This window comes from Homo sapiens, chromosome 5, assembly GCF_000001405.40.
Source record: "Homo sapiens chromosome 5, GRCh38.p14 Primary Assembly".
Classification (NCBI taxonomy): Eukaryota; Metazoa; Chordata; class Mammalia; order Primates; family Hominidae; genus Homo; species Homo sapiens.
Window position 1 is genome coordinate 101,782,004 of NC_000005.10, and position 12,332 is coordinate 101,794,335.

Sequence of the window (12,332 nt, forward strand, 5' to 3'; positions counted from 1 at the left end):
GGCATTCCATAACATGATGCAAAGTTCATTGTGCAACTTTCCAGAGCACAAAAAGATTGAAGAAGTATTAACGAAAGATCAATTCAGAGTTCATCTGTGAAATGGAACACACAAAAATGTCATCTCCATGAAAACAAAATGAATTTTAAGAAGCATAAGACATCATTTACTTTTATTAATAGCTAAAATAAATTAAAATTCTATTTATTGTACATATTTTTAAGGATAGCAGATGAAAAGAACAAAGAAAGTATGAAGGATAAGGGGAATTTATTTACATTAGGACAAGCACCTACACCTTTACTTTTTGGCATGTCAACTTTCTCATATAAAGAGAGTTAGAATTTCTAGAAATGGACTATTAAATGAGTTTATAACCAGGTTCATATCCTTAGAAATAGTTCCAAGCTATGTCCACACAACAAAATTATAGCCACTTCCTGGTAAATTTCAAAATCACTAAGGTGATGTTTATTAAACTAAAAACTCTACCTGGGTAAACACAAGGGAAAGTTTATTAGATAAGTTGATGTATGAAATAACCAGTTTCTACATGTACACTCAAGTCTATAAAAATCTTTATTCCAAGACAAGGCAAATAATGTGGTTTCCTTAATAGTACTGTCGTTTCTGATTCAATACATAAATCTACTGTAGCCAAGAAAAAGGTAAGAAACAGGAGGAAGGCATCTCTGCTTTCAGAGCTTTAACTTAAGCCTTTTGGGAAACCAGCATTCTCTAGCATCTTTTTAGAGCGTTGGGGCAGAGAAAATAGGAAGGTCAACAGGATGATGAATACTGACATCTCGCTTAGGGTCTGCCCACCGATTAAAGGAACAAAGGTACACGTTTTTGTTGACACTTCTGCAGTGACTCTTCTTTTGTCATAGGAGTCATCGGCGCCAGGACAACTGTCAACACCGCTGCACTTGAGAAAGTTGAGCTTGTACTGGGAACAGCTTAAAGAAGCCCACACAGCACAACAGCCTTTGTTGTTTAATTCATGAATCTGAACACACAAAAGCTCACAGGATCACACACACTGTCTCAATTTTCACGCTACCGTCTATAGTCTCTCATTTCATTTATTGCTTAACTTTTTGTCATATCTTAAATTACCCCATGAGTTGCATTCCCCTCTGTCCCTCTGTTCTTGCTATTTATTTTGTCTTAAGATCAGGAGCAGACTTGAGCACATCATCCACCTCTTTCTGATGGAGCGCATATTGGGTGCCTGGGAACGTCCTGTAAGCACCAACTTCAGCACCTTCTCTTGACAGAAAAGTTCTGTTCAAGGAAGATAGAGCGAAGGGGAGAAGTCAGTAAAACGCGTGAATTGCGTGGAGCAGGCACTCCCAGAACAAGTTTGGAGGATCCGTGATGGCTGAGCTCTTCCGAGTCCCTGGAGATGTCCCTCCCTCGCGATTGGTGCCTGCCCTGCCCCTGCCAGGGTCACTCTGCGCCACCTCCCTGGGGCTCAGGTTTCTTTTTAGAGGACCCCCCTTGTGCACTGGAGATGACAACGGCCTCTGCAGTTGGGCTCAGGGATGTCACTGGTCCTTCCCCCTTCCTCACAGAGAAATGAGGGAAGAAACAAAACAAAACAAAACAAAAACAGCCACTCGCTGGACTGAAAGGGTGGAGGCTGCGGACGTATCCTGTTGCAGGCGCTGCCTACCCAGTGCTGGGAGAAAAAGAAACAGTCGCAGACACGCACACTCACACTCGCAGGCACCTGGGGCTCCAAGAGAGAGTTAAATCTCCTTCGTGGAGTACCAAAGCCTCAGTCCATGGTGTCAGCCCTGAGACTGTCTGCATTCGCATGGAGTGGGCACCTCCGCTGGGGACAGATTACAGACGCGTCCGGCCCAAGGAATGCTTTGGAGAGCTGGGAGTGGGGCTGCAAGAAGGGTACTGTCTTCCAAGTGTCTTGGCTCAGCACACACGCTCACACGCACTCTCATGCCTCTGAGGTGGAGTGAAACAGGGCAGGGAGGGGTAAGGAAGAGGACGTTTATTGTTCCGTGCACAGCTCAATCTGGAAAGTACAAATACACACGTGAACCTGTTAGCCGTTCGCCCACTCAGCATGGGTTGTGGACGACAACCCTAGCTCATGATGGTTCCGGAAACAAGTGTTGACAGAAGTGCCATTAGGAACTTTGTATCTATATCATTCTTTCCTGGCCTTCGTGAATTCTCCTCCTGGGGAAGTGAAGGAAACTGTTCTCACGCAAGTTTCCCGGAGGAGAAACAATTATGAATAAAAGTAGCCACTAAGGACCTCCCTTTTAAACTCAGAGCACCTGCTTACATTCCCTACTCAAAGAAAGGGAGTGGCAGAAAGACATTCAAAGGTCTCCACAATCGGTTTAGTCTGTTATTTGTCTTTGTAATAGCTGATACTGGAAGCTGTTATAACCCTTCCTGAGGGAAACTTGCTGTTCTATCTCTCCCTTGGTCCGGTGCCATCTTTTACCTGTGCCTTGGTGGTCCTGGGAATGGGGAAAAGTCTCCATCATCTCAGGATCCTCCTGTCTCCACAGAAACTCCCCCCTGGATTCCCTTGTTGTCTTTGGCTAGGCAGCGGCTGCAGCTATCAGGCAGCCCTACCCTTTGGGTTTACAGGGCCTCTAGGTCAAAAAATACTAGGCGCAACTAGTAATCTTCCTCCCTAAGAGAGGCTATCATGCCCCCTGAAGATTTAGAAAATAAGAACCTCTGAATCTAGAACTTGCTGAAGAGTCAGCTGTGTGTTTGGATACAAATCTCTCTAAGGATCCACTAATTATGAACTTTCTTTGACATTTCGGTGTATCACAGAAAGCATTTCTCCATTATGGATACCTTGGCAAATCCGCTGTCACTAATACACTTTTGTTTCTCTTGACTATTTCTCAATCAGCAAAAATTGAAAATTAAACAAAAAGAAGTTGGCATCTGTTGTGGTGATGTTGGTTAGGATTTCAAATCCTCTACATTTTTTTTTTAATTTTAAACTGGTAAATAAGTATAATTAAGATTAAAATAAAACACCAATAGTGGGCGCCTATGGAGAAATATTCAATATTTCATTAAATTGATCCAGCCTTATTTGATCAACTTCCATGGGGCAGGCTGTGTATGAGAGTGTGAGAACACAGACATGAATATATTGTAGCCCCTGATCAGACAAGGAGGTCATTATCTCAGAAGGAAATCACACATTAAAAGAAATAAATTGCAACATTGTGCAGCTCACTAGCAGCAGCTTGGAAGTATGTATCTGGGTAAGCTCCTAGAATGGCAAGAGTGTTAGAAGAAACGAGGACAGCTTCTTGGAGGAGGAAACCTCAAGGCTGTTTTCAAGGATGACTATGGAGTTAAACAAGCAGACAAGACAGAACATCCTAAACAGAGCAGAGTACGTACAGTCAGAGGCATAAAAAGAATGGTGCTTCAGGGAATATCAGGCTGTTCAGTAAAGTTAGAGCACTAAGTGGGAGGGAGACTCTCAAAAGATAAGATTAAACATTCAAATGACAATGTTTTACTGTAGAAATGTTTGTAGATGGAACTGTAGCAGGAATTCTCAATGGAAATGTTGGTTAGATAATGAACTTTAGATAGAAATAAAAACAAAAACAAAATATGAACTCCTCACTAAGAAAAAAAAATCCAAACAAGAACTTACATGAAAGTCATATAAAAATTGAAAACCATGAAGAGAAAAAAATGAAACTTTGCGATTTTAATGCTGTTCCTTCTGAAGATTTTATAGAATATGGTGTGTTGGATTGAAAATACAGGAATTCCGCATCCCGTATTAGGATAATTTAGTGACTAGAAAAGTGTTTCCTACATGGTTAATATAATAGGTAGATTAAATACACACCCCACCAATTTGCCAATTAAAAAAAAAAGTAAGGTATAACAAACAGGCCAAGTTGAATACAGTTTGGCGCTACTTAACATGCTACTAGATTCAAGACTACACAGATTAAGTACTCTCTATAAAATGAATTTTAAAATATTTTTTTCAGCTAGAGCTATGCAAATGAAACTTTGGGAGGTAGATATTAAATGTTTCTTGAGAGCTTCCTATTCAGATAGCTTTTGTAATACCGAGGTCTTCACTAATGGGCAGCCTGGGGATGGTTATAACTTACAGAAGTGTGTTTCCCAGGATAATACTTCAAAATTTTGAAATGATTTGCCAAGATTTCAAAACCAAGAAATTTTTTATGAAAAAAACTAAGATTTCAAGGTTCTCTTCAAAAAGAAAAGCAAACCTACTAACATTGGACTAACTGTCCCACATAATAACAACGGTAGTTGAGTAGAAGCTGTCTCTTTTAAACAGGAGTCTTCCTAAATTTGGCCACTATTCCATTCTTACTACTAAATCTAGAAAATTTTCTATTTAACATCTTACTTTCTGAGTTATTTTTCCTATATATGTTTTTCTTTATTCACATAATTTAGCTACCAGGTCTCTCTCTGCATTTGAATGTAAAACTTTCTCAAGCAGGAATCTCATCTGATTCATAATATAAGAAAATAATGTATGTGATGATATTCTCAATTACTTAAAAGATGTGTTATAACTAGTACCATTCTGTATACATGGGAGAGAAGTTAATTCACCACATACAGTAGATGTCTTAGAGCTTTAGGGTTTAATTCTCTCGTGGACCTCATCTCAGAAAGGCTTGGATAAGCATGCTTCCATTTTCCAGTTTTCTAGGTAGAACTTTTCATAAACTCCATTTACTTAACGATAAATAGTTGAGAGAAATAACTAAATGAAGCATTTTTGACTTGAAAATGTGAATGCAGGGTTTAGGGGAATTCACACGTTAAGAATGATCTAATGAATATTTACTGATGGGGGCCTATGGTAATCTGGAAAAATAATGAGTATAATTCATATCTGACCTGCTTCTGCCCAAAGTAGTATAAATAATTGATCTGTAATTGGCATTGTCACAATCTTTTTTCACATTCCTTTCAAAGCTTTTCATGAATACATATGGATAACTTAGAGCAAATTGTGCTTTTATAATAATACAGCTTACCCAAATTGCATGTTAGTTACAATTGTTACCTATAATTAGAAGAGTCAAGAAAATGCATTTTAAAATTCTCTCAGAAAATTTTAAAATGTATCTGGTCGTTACCTTCAGTGAAACTTAAAGTATAACTACTCACATTTTGTATACATGCCTAGGTAGATAAAAAAGTTATTGCAGTAAGGCATAGCGTTGGAAGTAGGGTGACTTTGCTTACTTAGGAGACACACACACACACAAATATATGCACACACACATATATACATACACATGATATATATGAAATTATATATCTCATATATATCCATTTGCTTATAAAATATAAATGTTTTATGTATCATATTTGATATATAATACATCATTTATTCATGAGATATATATAATATGTATGCTTATGAGGTTTATATTATATATAACATAGTATATAACATATATATTGTAATATATATGTAAATAACGTAAGTAAACAGATTCACCATACTTACAGCCCTAGGTCTCCACTGCAATGCTGATATGGTTTAGCTCTGTTTCCCTACCCAAACCTCGTGTCAAATTGTAATCCCTAATATTGGAGGAGAGTTCAAGTGGGAGATGATTGCTGTTCTCATGATAGTGAGTGAGTTCTCACAAGATCTGGTTGTTTAAAAGTGTTTAACACTTCACCCTTTGCTCTCCTCCTACTCTGCCATGGTAAGACATGCTTTTTTTCCCTTCACCATCTGCCATGATTGTAAGTTTTCTGAGGCCTGCAGGCCATGTTTCCTGTATGCCTATGGATCTATGAGTCAATTAAAATTCTTTTCTTTGTAAATTACCCAGTCTCAGGTAGTTCTTTATAACATTGTGAGAATGGGCAAATACAGAAAATTGGTACAAGAGAAGAGGGGCATTCCTATAAAGACACCTGAAAATGTGGAAGCAGCTTTGGAACTGGGTAATGGGCATAGGTTGGAACTGTTTGGAGGGCTCAGAAGAAGATAAGAAGAAGAGGGAAAGTTCTGAACTTCCTAGAGACTTGTCAAATGGTTGTGACAAAGTAACATGGACAGTTGTGAGAAACACACTCACCCATGCAAACCCAAAGAATGGGCCCAGAGACACAAAGAACAATAGAAGCAAGACTTTTAATTGTGGTCTCGCAAGATTGGGTGTCTGGTAGGCAGGCACACCCTCGGCAGTTACAGCAGGTAATTTATCTCCTAACATGCAAGTCCCTCCCCCAGTTCCTCATTAGTCGAGTACCTGGATGTCACCTAAGTTTCATTATCCCCCTTATAAGGTTATATCCCAGTCCACTTCACTGCTTAGTTTTCGATTTCCCAATAATGAAACTGTCTTCCCTTTTATAGGCTGACCCCTCCTCTACACTTGGTTTGCTTAGGTGCATGAGCTGTGCGGTTTGTCACATCTGCAGGCTGGCTGCCATTACTTGGATTTATCATGCTTTGAAAATGGACAATTTAAAATGTTTTCTCACACAGTGAAGTCCATGCTGAGGTAATCTCAGATGGAGATGAGGAACTTATTGGAAACTAAAGTAGATGCCACTTTTGCTTGCTTTAGCAGAGAGACTGGCGGCATTTTGCCCCTGCCCTAGAAATCTGTGGAACTTTGAATTTGACAGTGATAATTTAGAGGATCTGGTGGAAGAAATTTTTAAGCAGCAAAGTGTACAAGATGTGGCCTGGCTGCTTTTAACAACTCATATGCATTCACAAAGAGATGATCTGAAATTGGAACTTATATTTAAACGGGAAGCAGAGCAAAAAAGTTTGAAAAATTTGCAGCTTGACCATTTGGCAGAAAAGAAAAACCCATTTTCTGGGGAGGAATTTAAGGCTGAAGAAATTTGCATAAGTAAAGAGAAGCCAAATGTTAATAGCCAAGACAATGGGGAAAATGTTTCAAAGGCATTTTAGAGACCTTCATGGCAGCCACTTTAATCACAGGCCCAGAGGCCTAATAGGGAAAAGTGGTTTCCTGGGCCAGGTCCAGGACCCCGCTGCTCTGTGCAGCCTCAGGACCTGGTACCCTGCGTCCTAGCAGCTTCAGCTCCAGCCATGGCTAAAAGGAGCCAAGGTGTAGTTCAGGCTGTGGCTTCAGAGGAGGCAAGTTCCAAGCTTTGGTCGCTTCCACATGGTATTGGGTTTGCAGGTATGAAGAAACAAGAGTTGAGGCTTGGGAGCTTTCACTTAGATTTCAGTGGATGTATGGAAACGCCTCCAGGCAGAAGTCTGCTGTAGGGGTGCAACCTTCATGGAGAATCTTTACTAGAGCCATGCAGGGGGAAATGTAGGGTTGGATCTCCTACATGAGTCCCCACCAGAGCACTGCCTAGTGGAGCTGCAAGAAGAGGGCCACCGTCCTCTAGACCCCAGAATGGTAGATCCATTGACAGTTTGCACCGTGAGCCTGGAAAAGCCTCAAAAACTCAATGTCAACCCATGAAAGCAGCCATGGGGGGTGTACCTCACAAAGCCCCTGGGGCAGAGCTGCTCATGGCCTTGGGAGCTCACTCATTGGATCAGCGTGTGCTGGATGTAAGACAGGGTGTCAAAGGAGATTATTTCAGAGGTTTAAGATTTAAAGACTGCCCTGCTGGATTTTGGACTTGCATGGGGCCTGTAGCACTTTTATTTTGGCCAATTTCTCCCCTTGGAATGGAAGCATTTACCAAATGCTTGTACCCCCATTGTATCTTGATAGTAACTGACTTGTTTTTGATTTTACAGGTTTGTTAGGGGGAAGGGACTTGTATTGACTCAGATGAGACTTTAGACTGGGACTTTGAGTTAATGCTGGAATGAGTTAAAACTTTGGAGGACTGTTGGGAAGGCATGACGGTGTTTTGAAATGTGAGATAACTCTTGCTTATTTCTTACACATACCCCTATGTAAACTCTGAGCATTGGAGACAGGTAGAATGAATGAAGAACAGGAAGGTTACTAGAGTAACTAAATCAGAACAAACTAGAGCCAGAAGGGGGAGAAAGAAGCCTTGTCCAGAATTTAAAGGAGGAAAAAAAATATAATTTGAGGAAGAAAAGTGATAATTTTAAGTTACAACTCATGCAGTCAGTTTTAAGGAAAAGGAAGAAGGATGTCAACTGGGTTCCTCAAATGAAATAAAGTATTGCTGCCATATAAACTAGAAAATGCTTCAGAAGTCTAGAAAGTATAAAGCAGTGTCATAATTACTTAAAAACACTGTCAAGATAATTCTGTCTAGTAGAATGGGATAATTTATTTCTAAGTTCAATATATATTAGGAAAACCTTTTGATGGGCAAAATAAGCTTTTTGTTTTGGTTTGGTTTCATTTCGTTTAGAAAATTTGTAATAGAATTTATGGAGAAAACAGTGATAATAAAATGTGCCCAATAATAATTTCAAAAGAATCTTACAGCATTTTGTCCTAGTCCTTTTTTTTTTTTTCCTGTCATAACAGAGCACCACAGACTGGGTAACTTATTAAAAAAAAAAGAAATTTATTTTTCATTATTCTGGAGGCTGGGAAGCCCAAAAGCACAGATGCCAGCATATGGTGAGGGTCATCCCATGGTGGAATGATGGAAGGTAGAAGTGAGTACATGAGAGAAAGAGGAAAAAGGAGGCAAACTCATGATAACTAAGCCAGTCCCACGATTACAGCATTAATGTATTTATGAGGGCAGAGCCCTCATGACCTAATCACTTCTAAAAGGCCTCAGATCTCCCCTCCCCTCCCACCCCTTTGGAAACTTAGGCTGGAGTGCAATGGAATGATCATGGCTCACTGCAGCCTCAAACTCCTGGGTTCAAGTGATCCTCTCACCTCAGCCTGCCAACTAGCTGGGACCACAGGTGTGCACCATCATGCCCAGTTAATTTATTTTTGTAGAGATGGGGCCTCACTCTGTTGCCCAGGCCAGTCTTGAACTCTTGAGCTCAAGTGATCCTCCTGCCTTGGCCTCCCCAAATGCTGGGATTACAGGCATGCACCACCATGCCCCGCTAGGGCCTCACCTTTTAATACAGTTACAATGACAATCAAATTTCAACATGAGTTTTGAATGAGGATATTCAAAGCACAGGATTCTACCCCTGGCCCCCAAAACATGTCATTCTCACATACAAAATATATTCATTCACTCCCAATAGTTCCAAAAGTCCTAACTTGTTCCAGCATCAACTCAAAAGTCCAAAGTTCAGAGTCTCATCTAAATAAGATATAGGTGAGACTCAAGGCACAATTCCTTTTGAGGCAAATTCCCTCCAGCTGTAAATTCAAAACAGGTATCTACTTCCAAAATGCAATGATGGGACAGGGGTAGAATAGATAAACCCATTCCAAAAGGAAGACATAAGCAAGAAAAGACATAGAACTGGTATTAGGTAAGTCCAAAACCAAGCAGAGAAAACAACATTAAATATCAAAGCTGAAGAATAATCTCTTGATTCCATGTGCCACTTTCTGCATACACTGGGTTTGAGTCCCTAGGCCTCCCTTGGCTTTGCTGGGCTCAGTCTATGCTTCAGCTCTCTCAGGTTGGAATTGGATGCTGGTGCCACCCTACAATTCTGGGATCTCAGGTGCTTCCCCACTCCCACAGCTCCAGTAGACATTGCCCCAGTTTCATTGCAGCAGGTTTCTGCCTGGGCTTCCAGGTGGTCTGTGGCATCTTTTGAAATATAACTGAAGGAAGTCACAGCCTCCACAGCTCTTGCATAATGCATACCTGCCGACTAAATATCAGATTGATGCTACCAAGGTATATATGGTCTGTACTTTGCAGAAGAGTGGGTCTAGCCACACCTGGGCCTCTTGACCCACAGCTGAGGCATCCAGGGATCACTGTGTGGGAATTCCAGGAGCAGAGACCCAAGATGCTTTTGACTAGCAAGGGCATGGAGGGTGCCCCAGGACCATCCTTTCAAACCACTCACCCTTCTAGAGCACTGGGCCTGTGATGAAAGGGGAAGCCTGAAGATCTCTAAAATACCTTTGGGGTCTTTCTTTCTCTCATTATCTTGACCTGGATTCTTTTATCCATAGTAATCTCATTAGCCAGTGGTCCCTTACAAACACTCTTAATATGGTCTGCTGAACATATTTTTTGCACTCTTTGCATGGCCAGGCTGCAAATTTTCCAAGCCTTTCTACTCTGCTTTCCTTTTAATTATAGATTCCATCTTTAAGTCATTTTTTCTGCCCTCGTGTCTCACTGTACACACTTAAAACTAGCTAAAAAGCAGACTGAGTGCTTTGCTGCTTAAATATTTCTTAGGCAGTTCTTTGTTCATCACTCTTAAGTTATGCATTCCAAAAAGCCCTAGGAGATACCATAATTTTGCCAGGCTCTTTGCTACTTTATAATAATATTGACCTTAACTCCAGGTTTTTATACCTTGTTTCTCATTTCCATCTTAGACCTTATCATAATGGCCTTCCACTGTCCATATTTTTACTAACATACTGGTCATGGCCACTTAGGTAATCTCTAAGAAGATTCAGACTTTCCCTACAGCTCTGGTCATCTGAGCCGTCAACAGAATCACCATTAAATGTCTATTGATGACAACAAAGCATTTTCCATGCTGCCCCTCCAAATTCTTCTAGCCTCGACCCATTATTCAGTTCCAAAGCCACTTTCATATTTTAGTTATTTGTTATAGCAACAGCCCCACTCCTTGGTACCAATGTACTGTTTTAGTCTGTCTTTTGCTGCTATAACAGAATAACACAAACTGGATAATTTATTAAAAAATATTTCTCACAGTTCTGGAGGTTAGGAGCCAGCAGCTGGCAAGGGTAATCCCATGGTGAAAGAGAAGAAGGTAGAAGTGCACACATAAGACAGAGAAAAGACGGGGCCAAACTCCCAGAACAACTAATCCACCCACACAATAATAGCATTAATCCATTCACAATGGTGCAACTTTATTGCCTAAGCACCTCTTAAAGGCCTCACCTCTTAATATTGCTACAGTGGCAATTAAATTTCAACATGAGTTTTGGCAGGGACATTCAAACCATAGCACGTATACCAAACAATTTATTTTCTTCAACTTTAAAGTTCTAGGTTACAAGTGCAGGATGTGCAGGTTTGTTACATAGGTAAATGTGTGCCATGTTGGTTTGCTGCACAGATCAACCCACCACCTAGTTATTAAGCCCAGCATGCATTAACTATTTTTCCTGATGCTCTCCCTCCCATCGCACTCACCCAACAAGCCCCAGTGTGTGTTGTTCCCCTTTATGTGTCCATGTGTTCTCATCATTCAACTCCCACTTACAAGTGAGAATCTGTGGTGTTTGGTTTTCTGTTCCCGCGTTAGTTTGCTGAGGATAATGGCTTTCAGCTCCATCTATGCCCCTGCAAAGGACACAATCTCATTCCTTTTTATGGTTGCGTAGTATTCCATGCTGTATATGTACCACATTTTCTGTATGCAGTCTATCATTGGTGGGCATTTGTGTTGATTCCATGTCTTTGCCATTGTGAATAGTGCTGCAACGAATATATGCATGCATGTATCTTTATAATAGAATTATTTATATTCCTTAGAGTATATACTGAGTAATGGGATTGCTGGGACAAATGGTATTTCTGCTTCTAGATCTTTGAGGAATTGCCATGCTGTCTTCCACTATGGTTGAACAAATTTACACGCCCAACAACAGTGTAAAAGAATTTCATTTCCTCTGTAACCTCACCAGGATCGGTTGTTTCTTGACTTTTTAAATAATTGCCATTCTGACTTGTGGGAGATGGTATCTCACTTTGCCTTCGATTTGCATTTCTCTAATGCTTAGCTTTTTGTCATGTTTTTTGGCCACATGAATGTCTTCTTTTGAGAAGTGCCTGTTCATGTTCTTTGCCAACTTTTTAATGGGTTTTCTTTTCCTGAAAATGTTTTATAAGTTCCTTGTATACTCTGGATATTAGACCTTTGTCAGATGGATAGATTGCAAAAATTGTCTTTCATTCTGTTGATTGTCTGTTCACTCTGATGATAGTTTCTTTTGCTGTGCAGAAGCTCTTTAGTTTAATTAGATCCCACTAGTCAATTTTTGCTTTTGTTGCAATTGCTTTTGGTGTTTTCATCACTAAATTTTTTCCCGTGCCTATGTCCTAAGTTGTTTTGCCTAGATATTCTTCTAGGGTTTTTATAGTTTTGCATTTTACAGTTAAGTCTTTAATTCATCTTGAGTTAATTTTTGTGTAAGGTATAAGGAAAAGGTCCAGTTTCAGTTTTCTGCATATGGCTAGCCAGTTATCCCAGCACCATTTAGTAAACA

At 40.2% G+C, this 12,332-nt stretch overlaps 1 long non-coding RNA gene across 2 annotated transcripts in view, besides 1 other annotated feature; it reads right to left on the reverse strand.

Moving 5' to 3' along the window:
• LOC105379102 (uncharacterized) overlaps positions 1–12,332 on the reverse strand; it is a 328,753-nt gene that overhangs the window by 256,421 nt on the left and 60,000 nt on the right. The gene's annotated exons all lie outside the window — the stretch shown is intronic.
• Positions 603–1,355: an enhancer, noted in NCBI's record as "NANOG-H3K4me1 hESC enhancer chr5:101118310-101119062 (GRCh37/hg19 assembly coordinates)". NCBI's record gives its function as "activates a minimal SCP1, AML or CMV promoter by ChIP-STARR-seq in primed H9 embryonic stem cells {active_cell/tissue: H9 hESC(primed)}" and the evidence as "EXISTENCE:reporter gene assay evidence [ECO:0000049][PMID:30033119]".